Source organism: Homo sapiens, chromosome 9 (assembly GCF_000001405.40).
Source record: "Homo sapiens chromosome 9, GRCh38.p14 Primary Assembly".
NCBI lineage: Eukaryota > Metazoa > Chordata > Mammalia > Primates > Hominidae > Homo > Homo sapiens.
Window position 1 is genome coordinate 106,646,647 of NC_000009.12, and position 21,414 is coordinate 106,668,060.

A 21,414-nucleotide genomic window follows, 5' to 3' on the forward strand; every position below is an offset into this window, starting at 1 on the left:
TGTATCCTATTTCATATGTTTACAATTTTATTACATCTATATGTGTCCCCAATACATTTTTAAATGCTGTCATATAGTCTGTATGATTCTGCAACTTTTCATCCATTCAACATAATGTTTATGAGATACACCCATGTTGACACATGTAGACTTAGTTCATTTTAACAGCTACATTTGAATTCCATCACAAGCATATAGCACAATTTATATATCCATTCTCCTATTAATGGACATTTCAGTTGTTTCTAATTCTCCTCTATTACAGACAATGCTGCAATGAATGTCCTTGTTCAGATCTCCTTGGTGTACATGGGCAGGAACTTCAGTAGGGAATCGCTAAAGGCAGGATTTCTGGGTCCTAGAGCATATGGATTTTCTACTTTCTTAGTGGATATTGACAAATTAATTTAAATTCAAGTAAAATAGGATCTTTACTGTAGCTTATACAGCCCACTCCCTTTTTTTTTAATTTTTTCATCTGGGTGTGCAGTTTGTATCCCAAATAACACGGGCAGAACAGGACTCTTTTTTCCATATCTTACCCTGCAGTCAAATTGTTCATCCCCTAGGCTTTTCCATTTTCATTGATGATACAACCATCCATCAGCTCAACTGCTCAAGCCTAGAACCAGGTGACATACTTAACTCCAAACTTCCTCTCACCTCCCACATCCCTTTCATTTCTCCCCACCACCACCATCAACACCAGTCTCCCATCGTCATTCCCATCTAAGTCACCATCATCTCTTGTGGACCTCTGTGCTAGCCCTTGACATTCTTCAGAATTTCATTCTGCCTCTCAACACTTAGCAGCCAGAGTGAGTTTTTTTTGAAACATAAATCTGAGCCTGTGTTCTTCCTTGTTTAAAATCACCCATTGTTCTTGGAACAAAATCCATACTTCTTAGCCTATAAGGCCCTACATCATTTGAGCTTGTTCCCTTCACCTAATCCACCTAGGCCCACTCTCCCACTCCACTGCTCTCAGTCCATGCTGGTCCTCTATGCTCACACCTGCCAAGCCAACTCCTGCCTATGGATTATTATAATATTTCCTTATTATTTTATTTTTAATTTACACATAATAGTTGTATATATTTATGGGATATATAGTGATGTTTCAATACATATGCTGTATAATGGTTAGATCAAGGTATTAGCATATCCATCGTCTTAAACATGTATCATTTAACATTCAATATTCTCCTTCTAGCTATTTGAAACTATATATTATTGTTAACTATAGTTATCCTACAATGCTATAGAGCACTACAACTTATTGCTCCTATCTAGCTATAATTTTGTTTACTTTAACAAATCTCTCCCTACCCCCTCTTCCTCCAATCCTTCCCAGCCTCTGGTATCCTCTGTTCTACTTTTGATTTCTATGAGACCAACACTTTTAGCTTCCACATATGAGTGTGAGCATGTGGTGTTTAACTTTCCATTCCCAGCTTATGTCACTCAACATAATGCCCTACAGTTCCACTCATGTTGTTGCAAATGACAGTATTTCATTCTTTTTATGGCTGAATAGTATTCCATTGTGTATATACCATTTCCTAGAATGTTCTAAATTTTTGCTGGGCTGGCTTCTTCTTGTCCTATAGGTCTCAACATAAATATCATTTCATTGAGAGGCTGCTCCTAATCACTTAACCTATAGTAGTTCTATTGCAATATCCCACTTTAATTTTGTCAGAGTTATCATATTTTCTTGTGTTTTGACTTGATTTAATGGTAATTTTCTTATTCTTCCTTTTAGAAAGTAAACTCCATTAGAAAGGAAACTTGTCTGCCCAAGGTTTCATCTGTATCATCTACAATAGCACATGGCATATAGGAGATGCTTTGTGATTATCTGGTCTGTGAGTGAGTGAATAGTAATTCAAGAGAATTTTTCATTTTTCTGTGGCTTAGAGTTGTCTGTACACAGACAAATATTTAATGGACATGTTTAGGATGCTTTCATATGATAAATTTGGAGAACATATGATGTCCCTTGTTTTCTCCTTTAACTGATTTTTAAATTCAACTTTCTCAAGCTTCTTTAGCCAGAATAGGGTATCCCTTCTGTGGTATCCTGAAGCATTTTAATAGCCATTCCTAATATCTTCTATGGTACTGCATTGTGGTAATTTATTCAAATGTCTGTTTTCCACACTGTGCTGAGAGTTCCTTGAGAAAGGCACAGTGCTGGGTCCATTTCTGTATCCCCAGAGCTCAGTGACTTGAGTGAATGAATGATGGCTAAACGGGTGGATAGATGAAAAATGTCTGCCCAGTTTTGCCATGATGGTCAGAACCAAAACTACAAAAAATAAAAGGAGACAGACCTACATTACTCTCCAAAAGAGGGAGCAATAGAGTTATTATCACCTGGATAGTTCTCAAGATCTGCAAATCGAGCAAAGCCAGGAAATTCAAATTTTTGCCAGATAAGCCCTTGGCTTGCCAAACATATTTCTGTTTAAATCATTTATGATTCTGCTTATAGTACATGATAAACTTTTTGTTTTATACATCTCTTATTTTAGCATTCCATATTCTTATAAACATTTACAAAATCTTTCTTTCTGTGCTATGGATATTGTGTTGTGATTCTGCTGCTAAATTTGCTACTTTTTAATTAAATCAGTTTGGTTGTCATCTTACTAAGTCACTTCTTTCCATTTTTCTCCCAAACGTTTATTACTAAATTTTCAAGCACACAGAAAAGTTGGAAAAATTGTACAATTAGCATTCACATATTCACCATCTGAATTCAATAATTATCTTGCCATATCTATTTTATATCTCTATATACATATATACAAATGTATTTATATTTTTGCTATAAGTAAATTATAGGAATTATGATACTTCACCACTAAATATTTCAACCTACATCTCCTAAAAACAAAAGCGTTAATTTACATAATCTCAGTAGCATTATTTTATCCAGAAGATCAATAGCAATTCCCTACATCAGTTAATAACTAGTCCATATTTAAATTTTCCCCAATTGACCCCAAATTATATTTTATAGATTTTTTTTCAAACTAGGACCCATGAAGGCTCACACATTTTTCTTGGTTTTTATGTCTCGTGTCCCTTTTACTCTACAGAAGCCCCTCTCACAACTTTTGTTGTTGTTGGTGTTGTTGTCATTACACTGACTTTTTGAAGAGACCCGATCAGTTGCCTTCTAATAGATCTACATTCTGGATTTGCTTCAGGATTTCTCTGTGACGTCATTTAGCTGTTTTCTCAGCTACCTGTGTTTCCTCTTATTTAGAAATTAAGAATAGAAGCTTGATTGGATTCAGGGTAAATATGTTTTTTGTAAGAATAATGGTGATGCTAAGTATTCCGTATCTTTACAGAAAGCACATAATGTCAAGCTGCTCTATGATTACTGATGTTAAATTTGATCACTCCATTATAAATCTAACATTTTGCTTTTACAATGAACAATTAGTTGCAACACAAGCACTTAATAGAGCTGTCATCAGTGAAATGCCCACTATGTCCAGGTGCAGTGCTAACAACCCTTCATAACAATCCTAGGAGGAAGAATAACTTCACTTAAAGATGAAGAAACTGCATATGGCTAGCCAGTTTTCCCAGCACCATTTATTAAATAGGGAATCCTTTCCCCATTTCTTGTTTTTGTCAGGTTTGTCAAAGATCAGATAGTTGTAGATATGCGGCATTATTTCTGAGGGCTCTGTTCTATTCCATTGGTCTGTATCTCTGTTTTGGTACCAGTACCATGCTGTTTTGGTTACTGTAGCCTTGTAGTATAGTTTGAAGTCAGGTAGCGTGATGCCTCTAGCTTTGTTCTTTTGGCTTAGGATTGTCTTGGCAATGCGGGCTCTTTTTTGGTTCCATATGAACTTTAAAGTAGTTTTTTTTCCAATTCTGTAACTGGATCCCTTCCTTACACCTTATGCAAAAATTAATTCAAGATGGATTAAAGACTTAAATGTTAGACCTAAAACCATAAAAACCCTAGAAGAAAACCTAGGCAATACCATTCAGGACATAGGCATGGGCAAGGACTTCATGTCTAAAACACCAAAAGCAATGGCAACAAAAGCCAAAATTGACAAATGGGATCTAATTCAACTAAAGAGTTTCTGCACAGCGAAAGAAACTACCATGAGAGTGAACAGGCAACCTACAGAATGGGAGAAAATTTTTGCAATCTACTCATCTGACAAAGGGCTAATATCCAGAATCTACAAAGAAATCAAACAAATTTACAAGAAAAAAAACAAACAACCCCATCAACAAGTGGGCAAAGGATATGAACAGACACTTCTCAAAAGAAGACATTTATGCAGCCAAAAGCCACGTCAAACAATGCTCATCATCACTGGCCATCAGAAAAATGCAAATCAAAACCGCAATGAGATACCATCTCACACCAGTTAGAATGACGATCATTAAAAAGTCAGCGAACAACAGGTGCTGGAGAGGATGTGGAGAAATAGGAACAATTTTACACTGTTGGTGGGACTGTAAACTAGTTCAACCATTGTGGAAGACAGTGTGGTGATTCCTCAGGGATCTAGAACTAGAAATACCATTTGACCCAGCCATCCCATTACTGGGTATATACCCAAAGGATTATAAATCATGCTGCTATAAAGACACATGCACACATATGTTTATTGTGGCACTACTCACAATAGCAAAGACTTGGAACCAACCCAAATATGCAATAATGATAGACTGGATTAAGAAAATGTGGCACATATACACCATGGAATACTATGCAGCCATAAAAAATGATGAGTTCATGTCCTTTGTAGGGACATGGATGAAGTTGGAAATCGTCATTCTCAGCAAACTATCGCCAGGACAAAAAACCAAACACCACATGTTCTCACTCATAGGTGGTAATTGAACAATGAGAACACATGGACACAGGAAGGGGAACATCACACACCGGGGCCTGTTGTGGGGTGGGGGTAGCAGGGAGGGATAGCATTAGGAGATATACCTAACGTTAAATGACGAGTTAAGGGGTGCAGCACACCAACATGGCACATGTATACATATGTAACAAACCTGCACATTGTGCACATGTACCCTAAAACTTAAAGTATAATAAAAAAAAAAGATGAAGAAACTGAGGCTCCAATAGGAGAGAATCTGCTCTCAAAGCTATATCCCCTACAACACTAATGGATGTATATGGAGGAGGCAATGCAGTATTTTCTGGTTCCTAATCCGTTTCCTTGGTTTACCTAAGAACAACCATGGTAAGACATGGTCAGAAAATAGTAATTATTCTTTTTCTGAAATGAGTAGTTGAGTCTTTTTAACTAAAAACTCTTTAAAAATAACTTTAGATATTTTAATTCTTATTTCAGTACTTTCTACATACAAGTGTTTACTTCCACGCTCTTGAATGCATGATTGTTTATTCATTTATTTATTTTATTTTTTGGGGAGGTGTGGGGGGTGCGGAGTTTAACTCTTGTTGCCCAGGCTGGAGTGCAATGGTGCGATCTTGGTTCATTGCAACCTCCACCTACTGGGTTCAATCGATTCTCCTGCCTCAGCCTATGGAGTAGCTGGGATTACAGACATGTGCCACCATACCTGGCTAATTTTGTATTTTTATTAGAGATGGGGTTTTGTCATGTTGGTCAGGCTGGTCTTGAACTCCCGACCTCAGGTGATCCGCCCACCTCAGCCTCCCAAAGTGCTGGGATTATAGGCATGAGCCACCATGCCTGGCTGATTGTTTATTGATAGAAGTAGAAATTAACATTTTATCTTACATAGTTATTCACATTAAACCACAATTGTGGAAACCCATTTTCCTACTTGAATTTGGTAGACAGGAAATCAGGAACATAAGTGATACTATCTTCCCCTTACAGGTGTGAGAATTATAGAAATCACAGGAAAATCTATCTCAGGTTTCAATGATAATAAAAGTATTAATTACTACAATTATATAAGCATTCTCTTCCATGTTTAGGGGGAAAGGAGACACTCAACATTTCAGATGCAAACTTTTCCTTTCCTTTTCCCTCACACAGACTCAACCTAAAAAAAAAAGACCCTTCCCAGCCGGGCACCATAGCTCACACCTGTAATCCCAGCACTTTGGGAGGGCAAGGCGGGAGGATCACAAGGTCGGGAGATTGAGCACATCTTGGCTAACATGTGAAACCCCGTCTCTACTAAAAATACAAAACTTACCTGGGTGTGGTGGCATGCACCTGTGATCCCAGCTACTCAGGAGGCTGAGGCAGGAGAATCGCTTGAACCTGGGAGGTGGAGGTTGCAGTGAGCCAAGGTCGCGCCACTGCACTCCAGCCTGGGTGACAGAGCGAGACTCTGTCTCAAAAAAAAAAAAAAAGAAAGAAACAAAAAAAACAGCCACCCCATGAGTTGTAGCCTCTGAACTGTAAATATCTGGGGTCCTGGCAGAACATACAGGGTTGAAGGTAGAGAAGTTGCAAGGGGCAACTGTTGGCTGAACAAATCAAGGAATAATTTCTATTATGTGAGAATTTACATACTTACGTTTTAAAAAAAAGTCCTTATACTTAGAAAGGTTGGGAAATACCAGACTGGTCTATACTCAATGTCTTCATCTCTTACTCAATTCCAGACAGTCTGGCTTCTGCCCCTATCAACTTCACTTACAATTGTTAAGTCCTTATATTACTTGCCTTTTCTGTAACCTTTAATTATGTTGCATGCTCCTTACTTGGATCTTGCTCTCTGTCTTCTTTTGGCATTCCATCATGTTCTACTCTCTTGGCCTTTCTCCTATTTTTCTGACCATTCTTTCTATAACTCCTTTGCCAGAATTCTTTTTCTCTGCCCATATTGCACACACTGGTATTCCCTGGGGTCATGTTCTTGGCCATCTTCTCACTTTGCATGTTTTTCCTGAATGATCTCACCCCTGCTGTGGCTTCAACCATGGCTTGTGCCTGGATAAATCCCAACTCTATCTTAGGGATACAAATTTCCATACTTCGCTCATGGGCGACAGACTCATATGCATAACTTCCTATGGTACATATCCACTCTAGAACCCCAAGGAAGTTTAGCATGCCCCAAACTAAACTTAACACATTCCCTCCTTCCATCCTCCAAGTTGCTCCTTCTCCTTTTTTTTTTTTTTTTTTTTACCGAGTTTCGCTCTTATCACCCAGGCTGGAGTGCAGTGGCACGATCTCAGTTCATTGCAACCTTCACCTCCCAGGTTCAAGCAACTCTCTTTCCTCAGCCTCCCAAGTAGCTGGGATTACAGTCATGTTCCACCGTACCTGGCTAAATTTTTTTGTATTTTTAGTAGAGACGGGGTTTCGCCATGTTGGCCAGGCTGGTCTTGAACTTCTGACCTCAGGTGATCTGCCCATCTCGGCATCCCAAAGTGCTGAGATTACAGGTGTGAGCCACCGTGCCCGGCCTCCTTTTTCCTTTATTTGCTTGAATGTACCACTTTTCTCATATTCCCCCAAGCCAGACATGTGGGATTCATCTTTGAACCCTCTACTCTCTACCTATGAAGCATCGGAGCCTATGAGATGATGATTTAAATTCTTATTTCGCCCTTCTCTTTCTCTTCCTACCTATAACCCAATGCCTTACTCCATTTGGGGGCTGGGTTTCTACAAATTTTCTAACTGGTCTCCCTGTCCCAGTCTGTGTTCTCTCCCATCTCCAACAACTAGCTTTCTATGGCGAGGGTGTCTACATAAATCACAAATCCGATTATGTTACTGTTTTATTTGAAACTTTGACTTGGCCTCCTGTTGTCCTTGGATAAAGTTTGAATTCTTTTGCATAGCATAAAAGGTTCTTCATGATCTGCCTCCTGCCTCCCTTCTAGTGTCATGCCTCAGCATAACCTCCTTCTGTCATATTGAACTACATATTCTTGGAATGGGGAGTGTCCTTTCTTTGTTTTTGTGCTTCTGCACATACTTCTCACTTTTGCTGAAGTGTCTTTCCCAACTTTTCACGCCTAACTCACACATGTCCTCCAAGATTAAGTTCAGATGTCACCATATCCAAGAAGATTAGCAAATAATCTATTTTGGCCATTGTCTCATCTATAGATACAAGTAAGTAAACATTCCCAGTTTTAGCAATGATTGATCTACCATCTAAAATGTTGGGTTCTTATACTACATGTATTTACTTAGTGTATATGAAGGAATTTTGACTCTCTTCCCTCATTATCACTTTACTTCTTGTTGGTAGCAGAGTCCAACTCTCAACCCAAAAGGCTTGGCTGAGTCCTGGTACCTTGCTAGCTCTAGTCTGCACCCATCCCTGAAAAGCTAAATGCTGCCCACATTTTACAGTCATTTTCCAGGCAAAACTGCCACATAAAATTGTGTAGTTTGTGCACTACATACATTCACAACAGAACCTGTGTGGAGATCCTGTTCCAAGCCCCTCCTTTATAGCAAATGATCACCTGAATTTAGAATGCCACAATATACCACTGAAGCTTCAGCCACATTAAATGAATTGGGCCCTCTTGCATGATGAGATTGTTCAGTTTTTAAGCCTTGTTGGTATTTCTTTAGAAAATTATATTTTGATCAAATAGTTGGCTAGCCCTCTCAGGGATGAGCCTATGGCCAGCAAGATACAGCAATGTGTGTTAAAACAAACAAACTAACAAAAACAACTTGCATTTTGAAGTCAGCCAGATCTGGGTTTGAATTTTTGTTCTGCTAATTGTGTAGCCCTAGGCAAGCTTCTTAATCTCTTTGATCTTCATTTTACTTCTTCATTGGATAGCAAAACTTAACTTACAGGGAGATCATAGTATTAAATAAGTTAATATATGTAGACCACCCAGCACTGACCCTGACTGGTTTATGTTTGCTCTTCCTCCTCATTGTAGAGGAACAGCACAGGGCGCTTTGTGGCACAAGGTGCCATAGATTAAGGTGCAACAAACACATATCATCTATTTACTTGACAATTCTATGTACTCATCTCATCTAGGCATCTATGACATCCAGGGCATCAAAGAGGACATTGGTTATAAATTTTCTAGTTATATGCCCTAGGTTCAAAGGAAGAGGAGCTTCAAGCTAAAATTATTGCCATTCACATTTTTTGGTTTTGCTGCAATATTCTCTTGCTTACTTACTGTTTTCATTGTGTAAGTTCTTAGCAAACATTTGATTTCTCTCAGCTGCCACTGTTTCTCTCACTGCCATTGCTACTATAAATACTGGGACTAATTGGAGGAATGAGAGGCTTTAGGATTCTCTTGTCTGTAATAATTCATATTATTTTTTAAAAAACACAAAGCAAGGCAGCCCAGACTAGAGATTCTTGAAGACACAGGGTCCACAGGATCAAAAATGGCATTTGGGAACAGTAAGGGACAATGTTTCAGGGTTTTGTGAGCAAGCTGGTGGTAGAGCTGGAAGGATGTTTCAGTGGCAGATGGAATGTGTTTCCTCTGTGGAGAGAATAACTATCATTCCTTTGAACTAGTGTTCCAGGTAAATCTTTGAACAATTCATTTGAGAAAACATAACAAGGTTTTTAATAGTTAAACCTTCTCAGAAGAGCCCCGTCCAGTGTTTTCCTGCCAGACCACACTGCCACATGAAAGGGGAAACTAACTTATGTTAATGTCCAAAAGGCTGGGCTCTGGGAAAATAAAAGAAACCAAAAGACGAAAAGATGAGTGTCAAGAAATCCATGAAGGATTTTTCAAGCTAGTTGAATTGCTTATGCCAACTTCAGTCCTGATTCCATACTTAGCATGAAGAGGCAATGAACTCAGTGGGAGGGACATGAATTTGCTGCGACAGAGGTAATGAGTTGGAATCCCACCCCCCAGCACTATGGCAGTCACTAAGGCTGTGCACAGATAGTCTAGTTCTCGCTCCTGGGCTGCAGCCTAAGTTTGACCAATGAAATGTGAACACAGTAAGGCAAGTCACTTCTGAATGGCAGATTTAAGAGCAGATGCATCCTCTTTCTTTTGCTGTTATGATACCCAATATGCCAATTCTTGCTTCCCTGTTAGCTTGGGCCCCAGGGTGTGGAACATGATGATGCAGAGCCAGCCTCCCAGGGACTCTCAATCCCACATTCAAGTAGCATAAGAGGGAAGTAAACTTTTATTATTTGGTGTCCCAAAGACTTTGGGGTTGTTTGTTACTGCCACATAATTTAGTCTACCCTGATGAATACAAACACTTTCTGCAGATTATTGAGCATAACTCTTGTTCCTTTAAACATCAGGTTTCTCATTTCTAAAATGGCAATATCTGTAAAAATAGCTACACTTGTCCAACAGTCTAAAATTTGCACATAAACAGTAAATCCTTTTAACAATGGCAATTCTTTTCCTTGCCAGATCTCCATTAAAAAGGATGGAAGAATTTGTCTTCCCAAAGTGACTTCAGAACATATTTCCTTCACAAAGGCTAGCCTTGGATGATAAGAATAGTACCAAAGATAACAAAAATCTCCAATGAACTTTATCATCAGGCTTTCATTAAGGAGCAGAATCCACTGCTTAAACATTAGCTGGTAAAATCTGAGGCTTAAAACTAAAGAATTTTATAGTTGAAAAGTGTCATATCCAAGAGATTTGCATCTCAATGACCAGCCGAGTAGGAGCTAATAGAGCAGCAGAACATCTGGCCAGAGTACTTTCCTGTTCCCAAACCTGAGAGGACGTCTTGCTACCTGCAAGGCTCTGTGAGCCAGAGTACAACCAGGAAACTTGAGCCTTCCATCTGGCACTATTAAATATCCGTCCTCACTGCTCCCCACTATTGGATTTCATTCTTTGCGTTATATGTGTATGTCTGTGTCCCTTAGTAGACTAAATTTCCAGACCACCTTCTTTTCCTACGGGCAGTTCCTATTACAGCATCTATCATGGACGGTCACTAGGTCAGACTTTAAGCATTTCCTGTGAGTGGGGACCTTACTGCCTCCCAAGACTTTTCTATCTATGAAAAGAGTCTTCTTATTTTACATATCAGGACAGACCTCCTTAGAATGCTCCCCTACTTCAAGTCCCATCTCCTAAAATAAAACGGAATACTTCTGCACTCTCTTCTAGGGACATTAGGAAGACAATTATCATGTTGACCTTTAATCTTCAGCTCTCTTCATGGGCTGTAATGTCTAGACATCTCATCACTTCTATCAGGTCTAGACTCTAGTTTTCACAGTCCCTCTTAAAATATGGTGCATAGACCTAGTCTGTCAAGTAACGTACAATTACTTTGGTACAGAAATAGCATCTATTATGGTAATGGTTAATTCTTCAATGACTGACAAGATTTCTGGCTCATTACAGAGACTCAACAAATAAAACTAAATAAATTCATAAGTATAAACAGTACCCTCTGATGTGGTCTATGCCAGTTCATCTGAGACCACATCTTTTTATCATGACCACAGACCTCTGTCCCACCAGTTTTCACTGTACTTCCTTTTCCATGTGTGACCACATAGGAAAACATCTGACTGTTCTGTATCTTATCAAGCAGTAGACTGCATGTGTCACAATCATCTTCCTAAGCACTCTATGCAGCTGCTTTGCTGGCCTCCTCCCTGCTGTCATACCCTAGGAACTATCTCAGGACCTGCCACATCCCTGGGCAACCAAAGTGGAAAGTAGGGTCTTTCCCTGGCCTAAAAAATTCTACAAGGTCTGTTCCCTGCCTCCTCTAGACTCGTCTCATTTCATCCACATACCTCCACCTGCACCTCCACCCTCCACCCTCCACCCTGCAGCTGTGCTCCAATCATACTGCTGTCTTCTGGCTCCTTGAAGATGCCATGTTTCTTTCTGCCTCAGGGCCTTTGCACATGCTGTTCCTTCTGCCTGAAAAAATCTCTCTCTCCCCTTCTATTCCCCTTCATCTAGTTAACCCTTGCACACATCTGCACTCAAACATCATTTTCTCAGAATAGTCATGCCAAACTGACACTCTAGGGCTGGGTGTTATTTGGTCTTCCTAGCATTGTATACTTCTTTTTCAGAGAATTAATCATAGTTCATAATTATGCAGTTTTTATGTTCCTCTCTAAGTTTTGTGAGTGCAGAAACTTTACTTATCTTGATCATTGCGTGGTACTCAGTGTCTAAAAGAGCACCAGACATGTAGTAGATACTCGAGAACTATGTGTTAAAAGAATGTGTCTGCAACTTTCTCCTTAACTTGCAAGCTGCATGAGGGTGGATAGTGTTATTTTTGCAGATCATTGTGTGCCTTAGGGAGGACCTACACAGTAGCTGGCACAAAGTAGGTACTCAATAATGTAAATAAATAAAGAAGGAAGGCAAGATGAGGGGAAGGAAGAACATGATTAAGACACATAACCAGTAATAACACCTCCTTTACTCTCAGAAGTGTCTCAGTTTGGACAATAAATTACATGGTCACTGTATTTATGTCTTATTAATGTTTTGAAGATTTTTTAGGTCAGAGAGCAAGGTATGTGAAATAAATTAGGACTTGGAAATGTGCCTTATCTCTACAGAGGAGTTACAAGGCAGTCAGGAAGCCAGATAGGACAATTCCATTTCTTATGGTCCCTAAGAAGTCACAGGAGTCTTACAGGTGTTCTGAGTCTCAAAATGGGCTGTCTCTATCCACCTGCTTGTGGAAGCTCAGATCTGAACTTGATTTCTTTTTTATATTAGTGGAAAACCAACATATCTCCAAAACATTTCCCTACCCTATAGCATACACACACACACACCACACACACACAGATGAAAGATGTCTTGGCTCGGCTCAGTGGCTCATGCCTGTAATCCTAGCACTTTGGGAGGCCAAGGCGGGTGGATCACCTGAGGTAAGGAGTTCAAGACCAGCCTGGCCAACATGGTGAAACCCCATCTCTACTAAAAATACAAAAATCAGCTGGGCGTGGTGGTGGGCGCCTGTGATCCCAGCTACTCAGGAGGCTGAGGCAGGAGAATTGCTTGAACCTGGGAGGCGGAGGTTGCAGGTTGCAGTGAGCTGAGGTTATGCCACTGCACTCCAGCCTGCAGGATGGGAGTGAGACTCCATCAAAAAAAAAAAAAAAAAAACAGAAAGAAAAAGAAAAAGAAAAAGAAAGATGTGTGAGTCCATCTTGGCTGCTATAACAAAATAACACAGACTAGGAGGCTTATAAATAACAGGTTTATTTCTCACAGTTCTGGAGTCTGGGAAGTCCTAAATGAAGGCACTTGCAGATTTGGTTTCTGGTCTGGGCCTTCTTGCTGTGTCTTCACATGGTGGAAGGGGTGAGGGATCTCTCTTGAGATCGTTTTTTTTTAACTGTTTTTTTGAGATGGAGTCTCGCCCAGGCTGGAGTGCCATGACATGATCTGGGCTCACTGCAAGCTCAGCCTCCCGAGTTCACGCCATTCTCCTGCCTCAGCCTCCCAAGTAGCTGGGACTACAGGTGCCTGCCACCGCACTGGGCTAATTTTTTGTATTTTTAGTAGAGACAGGGTTTCACCGTGATCTCGATCTTCTGACCTCATGATCCGCCCGCCTCGGCCTCCCAAAGTGCTGGGATTACAGGCGCGAGCCACCGCGCCCAGCAGAGACCTCTTTTATAAGTATCCTACTCCTGTTCATGAAGGCAGGGCCCTTATGACGTAATTACCTTCCAAAGGCCCCACCTCCAAATGCCATCACATGAGGGATTAGGTTTCAAAATATGAATTTTATTTTATTTTATTTTATTTAGACAGAGTTTCACTCTTGTTGCCCAAGCTGGAGTGCAATGGTGCAATCTCGGCTCACTGTAACCTCCACTTCCCAGGTTCAAGAGATTCTCCTGCCTCAGCCTCCTGAGAAGATGGGATTACAGGCGCCCTCCACTACACCTGGCTAATTTTATTTTCAGTAGAGATGGGGTTTCACCATGTTAGCCCAAAGTGCTGGGATTACAGTCATGAGCCACCGCGCCCAGCCAACATGTGAATTTTGAGGGGGCACAAACATCCAGTCAATAACAGGGGAAGGCAGAGAAGAGAAATATGTGACTTTTTATGTTTTCACCCATCTCCAAAAGTCATGGCTTATGACCTGAAACTTTCCCTGTAAAGCTAGTTCATATTCCCTAGGACAAGCCTGATGAAAATCATGAAAGAGAGAGGTATGTTTGAGCCCAAATCTAAAGAAATCAAAATTATTCTGTCTTGTCCCTCTCCCTCACCTTATAGTAAAGTTTTCAGAGCTGAAATTCTGAACTAGTTTGTTATCAAGTTTAATAGAGAACAGAGTTCATTCCTGACACTTAAGTTCTGGGAACCAACATAGTTCTCAGAGTCCAAAATCTATCTCCCAGTGTCCAGTGTAGTTTTTTTTCCCCAAAACTTCTTGCCACCTTGGACTTATCTCTCTATGTACTATAGTGATAGTTTACTGTAGCTAGGGTGCCCAGGGAGTCACTTAGACCCACTCCTTTCACATTTCAGTGTGAGTTGCTGAGCATATTCAACAGGAGCAGATACTTTCCACACACAAACACACACACACACACACACACACAGCCCTTACCAATGCGTCTCAGTTCCTTTGAATATGAACACATATATGCTTACATTTAACCATAGGAATGTTTATAGGAATAAATGTTGCCACTCATGATATATAGACGTGGTTCGGCAAACATATATATCTACATTTTATTCATATATATCAATTCATTCATTCATTCAACACATATATACTAAATGTTTTCTGAACCTAGCTCTGTTCTAGTTGCTTAGAACATTAGTGAACAAATATAGTTTGTTTCATGAACAGACCAGAAAAATAGCCCTGTCCCTCCTAGAGTTTACATTTCAGCTAGCGGGGGTTGATGGAAGGGGAGGAGAGTAATGATAAAAAGTAAATGTAATAAATAAGTAAATTATATGATATCTTATAAGGTAATAAGTTCTAGAATAAAGTAATTTAGATAAGCACATGGGCTGGAATGAGTGGGCTGCAATTTTAAATAGAATGATTGAGTGGTTATGTAGATTTCATTGAGAAGCTAATATTTGAACAGAGACTTAAAAGAAGTGATAAAATAGTCCTCATGATATCTCATGGCTTTGGTGTCTTCTCTGGTCTCATGACCTAAGATCCATAGTCTGGTGGATCTGATATGGGTATTTCATTTACAGGGAGCAACCAGTACAAAAAACTCTAAGGTGAGAATGTACTTGACATTTGTGGGACAGCAGGGAATAGTTTGGAATATAATGATGGAGGGAGAAATATTACAGTCATAGGGGAAATAGTCAGGGATGATGAGGACCAGATCATGTAACTCACATGGATATAATATATAGATGCGGTGTGTGTATGTATGGTACACATACCTGGATGTGTTTGTATTCTTACTCTTAAATGTATTTTTAGACTTACATGTATTTTCATATAAATGCCTATTGTAAATGTATAGAGAAATATAGTATGTTATATTTGCATGACACCATCTATTTGATTATGGAGATATATGCTTTATCTATGCTAACAGATGTTCACTCATGTATCTATTGTGCAATTGAGTGCACATGTGAATTTATGGAATATGTGTAGCATCCTGTATGCGTGTGTGCATGTGTACTTATATACTATATTACTGTACCTGTCTACTAATAGCCTGCATCATTTCAAATGACAGAAAAGTCTCATGGGTGTGAAATTTTGTGAAATATCCATGCATTCGTGGTTTCTCTCTGCAGACACCTGGCAGGAGACAGAAACTCACATCATTCCTCCTGACCATTACTCCTCCAGAGAGAACCTTGTTCCCTGGCAGAAAGCTTCAGTGCTAAAACTAGCAAATACCAACAGGTTTCAAAGACTATGGATCTTAAGTCATGAGACTGGAGAAGACACCAAAGCCAGGACCATTTGATTCTGGAAGAACATGCAAGTGTTCTATGACATTGATAAACCATTGGCCTCATTCTGGTATTTGGCCATTTATCACAGTAGTTAAAATTGCCAGCCTGTTCTTTGTTACATCCTATAAGACAATTTCTTTTCTTTTCTTTTTTATCCTTTTTCTTCAACTTGTTGCTGGCAAATAAATTGCTGATACATTCAGATTTCAATTTGAGATTTTATTCTTAAAAAGCTTTGTGTTATAGGGTGAGATATGAGATTGTTTTTTCTCTCTTCTTTTTCATTTTCCATACTTGCCAAAGTTGTAAACCTAAGGCCAAGTTAATTAAAGTCAATGGAGAATGTATTTTTTTATTAAACTTTCTCTTTCTATTGATTTTTTCCTCTCATACAAATAGTACAGACTTAGCTCTTGAAATCAAAAACACTGTAGAGCAAAGAAACAGAATAATTGGGCTCCCAAGATGATTTACAAACTCTGACATAGGATTTCAGAGATGGCTAAGATTTCAGAGTGGCTAAACTGGCAAGATGGTGAGAATCAAGGTCAGCTAAGGACAGACAGACCCAGCTGTGTGCCAGCTAAGGTTTGTGAGGCCAAATTCCCAGGTATATTTGGCTTATAAAACTGTGTTGGTTTCTCCATGGTGCAAACATGTGGACCATTGCAACAGCCTCCTAGTTTTTCTTTCCACTTTTATGCTCTTCCCTCAAATCCATTTTCTATCCAGTAGCTGGATGTATCTTCCCAAGGAATAATTCTGATGATGCCATTTTTAGGGTCAAAGTCTTCAATAGCTTCCTTTAGTCGAGGGTCAGCAAACTACAGCCCATAGGCCAAATCCAGCTCAATGCCTATTTTTGTAAATAAAGTTGTATTGGAACTATAAGGAAGAGCTTTCTCTCTCTTTCTCTCTTTCTCTCACTCTCTCTTCTCTCTCATCAATATGAACTCAAGGATTCCTATTTTATGCAACGAGTGGTTGCATAAAATGTTACAATCTTTATTTATTTTGATGGTTAAATTGTCCTAGATTTGGCCAGCAGGAGCCCTTCAACCTGACTCTTATTTCCTTTGACTTGTTACCATAATCTTTGAGCATTTTTCTATTTTCCTACTTTCTGGTGCCAAAAATGTATTGAGCTCATCTTACACTTTTCCTGCCTCAGCCTTGGAATCAACCCTTTTTCCATGGGACCTTGTTTCCTTTTAGCAAAAAATTATATTTGGAAAGCAAGATATGGGAGCCCGGTGTGCACATTGCTACTGGAATGGCATTGTTTTTAGGTCCTTTCAGCAGTAAGAAATATATGCATATGTATATACATACATTAACACACATGCATATACATACATACATATATATACACATCTATGTTTATTTCTACATCTATGTGTATATATATATACATATTTTAAAACAAAGCTATGAGTTTACTCCTGTATCTCCAGTTCCAATCTAACACTTCAGGTTTCTCTCTAGACTTCTCCATTCCATATTTATAAATCTCTTCTCCAATTATGCTCAATATTGACTCTGATATTTTAACAAACTTAAGAGCAACGATCTTTTCTTGCCTTTGCATTCACCAGAGAGCTGCCAATGTGTTCAAAATTCAGGGACTCGATAAATCAGTGCTGTTCTTTAGTGCCTGGGCCAGGGGCAACCTTGACTTTAGCAACGAAACTACAGACTGAAGAATTTTCAAGAAATCCGGAGGCTAGTTCTGTGCCTCACTGTCTGCGTGTGACAAGCGATCTCTTTAACTGACATTACGGGCTTCTTAAAATGAGAAATGAAAAAAATATTCTCAAAGTCTCTCTGAGACTCTCCAGAGACAGATGCTGTATAAATTTAAAGTGTAATCATTGTTGCTGTGTGGAAAAAATGTTCTCCATCCATCTTGTTCTACAATAGATGGAGAATGTTCTCCAGGATCACTGCTCTTCTCAGGCTTCTAAACAGGTAAAACAGCTAAATATTGCATTAGATGCAATGGCATCAGTCAAAATGAATTATAAGCAACACTTAACTCTCGTATTTTTAAAATTTATTTTACTTTAAAAAATGCAGCACAACATAGGGAATACACATGAACCTATCTTGCTACTTAAAGTAGGGAATGCTTTCAACTCAGGTCAGATGGGGCGTGCTCTCTAGGGTGAAGCAATAGACAATAAGCTAGAAGCGTCCAGGTGGCCTCAACCAAAGATAACTCTGTCTTTTCTTCAGTTTGCAGCATCACAGAAAATGATGCTCTCTCCTGCCAAGTCCCATTTTTTGGGAGGAGGAAATGGATTAGGTCCTGGAGGTTGTCATAAATGCATCAAGTGACTTTCTCAGCATCATCTGAAACAGTAAGTGAAGAACAAAAACTCAAAGAATGCTACCCTCTCCATTTACCTAACAGCTGCTTTCTGGCCTCCAGATGTAGTTCTCTTAGAGCATGATTATTTATTTCTGGCTATATTTCAGTCCATTAAACTTAGAGACTTATACAGACATAATCTCAGTTTCAAGCCCTGCCTAGGATCAGACAGAATAGCCAACATAGAGGGACCTTTAGGAAACTTCTTGTCTAATTGCATCTCTTTATAGATGAGAACATTTTATAGATAAGACTTGTCCAAAACAAGTTCCACTCTACCATGCTTTACTTCCCTCTCCCTTGTGATTTGTCCTCCTGATTCAAAAGCTGTATCTTGGTTAGAGGTCAGCTCTGGGTTTAGCTACTTTTCAAGATATCACAGTTCCTCAAAATAATTTTTGATTAAGAGAAAATGATAAACTAAGATTTTGCTCTCAGTCTCAAACTGCATGCTTGGCATAATGGAAAATGCATTAAAATGACTCTTATTCTAACACTGCCACCAACCAGTTGAGTGATCCTAACCTTTCTGAACCTTAGTTTCCACATCTTTGAAATGATAGTATTGGATTAAAATATCCACTCATTCCCCAAAAACGTACTGAACAAAATAGAAATCCTTCCCCCCACCTACTTTATTTGGCACTGGACCTTGGGCAAATTACTAAACCTATCTGTAACTCAGTTTTCTCATCTGTATAATGAGGAATAATAGAAGTACCTACTTCATTGCTTTGTTGTGAGGATTGAATGAGATGCCCACACAAAGCACTTACAACAGCAATTGGCATATATGGCAAGTGCTCAATAATTGCTTGCTGCTATTATTATTATAGTTATCATTATTATTATTACTACTATTCTTTCCATGCTCCTATTCTTGGCTCGTGCTGTTTCCTCTGCCTGAGTTGATCTTCCTCTCATCTGCACGTCCAAATCCTACCTGCCCTTCAGGGCCCACTTCAAATACTCTCCCAAGAAACCCTCCCTGATTCTCACCAGCTTCTTCCCTGGAACACCCACCCATGGTACACTGACATCACCATCTCATTTAAATATCATATATACTCATCTATTATCTGTCCCTCAAGGCTTCTTGATGGCAGGGTTTCCATCTGACTCGTCTTTGAATTCAAGTGGCTGGTGCAGAACCCAGCAACTTGTAGGGAATTAGTAAATATTGGTTGAATGAATGAGGTATAACATTGCTAAAATCGTATGTCTACACTGGTTGTATAAATGGTTATATCAATCCAACCAAGAGACATTTTTTTCTAAATGTTGTTAATTAAAAGCTGAGGATATAGAACCCCCCCTCTCAAAAAAGAAATCTACATTACTGATCCTAAATGCTAGTCCTTAGACCAGTTCAATCCAAATCATCTTTGGAGTTCTTTAAATATGTGAAAACCTGGTACCCATCTCCCAAACGTTCTCATTCAGTAGGTTTTTGTGGGAATGGAGGTGACTCAAAAATCTTTATTTTTAAAAGGCTTCACAAGGGATTGTGATGTATAGACAAAATGAGGATGCTCAAGTGTATATTATGTCTAACAACTTTCTTAAGGTTTCCTCCCCCAAATGACTAATTTTAATACGTAACCATAAAGTCCGAGAATTTTTTGCTCTTTTTATGTTGTCATAATCAATGGGTTTTTTTTTTTCCAGATTGAAGATCCTAAAAAAATGATAGCAGCTTTTAAGAAGGACTATAGTGGAACAAGCAATATTCTAAGTGACAAGAGACACAGATTCTAGAATAAACTTAGCCAAATATGTATGAACTCGAACAATCTCCTTTGCCTCTCCAGGTTTTAATTTCCCCATCTTTACAATGGAAGCAATGACAACAGCAGCATGCAGCTAGTTTGGAGATTTTGAAGTCAGATTGGCTATTTAGCATTAACCCACCATGGTGCTGGTTGATCTTGCTAGATACAAATCTGTCATAAGTGAAAGCATCTTGACGGTGTCTTGGAAGCTGACTGGAAAAATACTGCTTTTAGCAGTACCTTTAAAGCAACAGGAGCTTTTCTGCATTGCATAGAGACAGAATGAGCTTTGTGTAAACTGTGCTGTAGCCACGTTATTCTGAAAGCCCATTGGGAAGATGCCAATAGTAATTCAGCTCAAATAATCTCTATTAGCCATAACCCTTTTGGTTGCAAGAGACAAAAACATGACTGAAATTATTTTCGGCTAGAAGGATCGAGGAGACTTGCAGCATAGCTTTGAGAACAGCTGAAATTAAAGACATGAATGCTGCAAGTGTCTCTGCCACTCTTTGTGTATTAACTTTATGTGCTCAGCCTGGCTTCCTCCACACTGCAAGGGATATGGCTGTTGCTTATATTTTCATCTCCATCTTTGCCACCAGAGAGGGACTGCCTTTTGTCTTGTTCCAATTTGGGAATTCCTGGGGAAGGACTACTCTGGCTTGGGTCACATGTCCACACCCTGAATCAAACATCTGAGGTCATGGAGAAGTACACTGATTGGAAGATCCTACTAATATTAAAAAGTTTGAGGAAGAGAAGCAATTGCCTCTATAAAGGGATGCTACTCCTAGAAAAATGATGGGTGCTGAGAAGGCCAAATGATCAGTGCCTACTGAACTGTCCCATAGGTATTTAGGTAGATATGGGTAATAAAGTTCTTGTGAACTAGCCCACTACATGGAATGCAATGTAAGGAAACACAGCTTGGTTCTGACACCAACTAGCTGTGTGACCTTGGACCTCATCATTCATCTCTCTGAATTTTGATTACTTATATAAACAACTGTCTTCCCCCTCACCCCGCCTTGAGTAGGGCTCTTTGAGATTGGACAGAAGGTATTACTTATATTTACATCTGCAGAACTGAGTACAAAGTATAGCCCTTAATTAGTACCCCATGATGTGGGTGTTTTTTAAGTTAATATCCAAGCAAAGTTTTTGATGTTGCTTACTGAGATACTTGTAACAACTAGATTTTCTTAATGAAGAAAAGGGTGAATGGAAAATAAACAAACAGGATAAAGCCAAGTGCATACCATAAAGTACTGTTAGAAAACAATGATGATACATTTGCCTTTAAGCTTCCTAACAGTCAGAGCAAAGATGGGAGATGAAAAGACACTCTATAATTAGGGTTGCCAGATATAGAAAAATAATAACAGAAAGCCAAGTTA

General features: G+C 39.2%; 1 long non-coding RNA gene across 1 annotated transcript in view; it reads left to right on the forward strand.

Annotated features, from left to right (window-relative positions):
* LINC01505 (long intergenic non-protein coding RNA 1505) overlaps positions 1 to 21,414 on the forward strand; it is a 63,745-nt gene that overhangs the window by 30,589 nt on the left and 11,742 nt on the right. Inside the window, exons 4-5 of the long non-coding RNA NR_104145.1 lie at positions 18,107 to 18,231; positions 19,911 to 21,076. This is a non-coding gene — a long non-coding RNA (long intergenic non-protein coding RNA 1505). The remainder of the gene's footprint in view (positions 1 to 18,106; positions 18,232 to 19,910; positions 21,077 to 21,414) is intronic.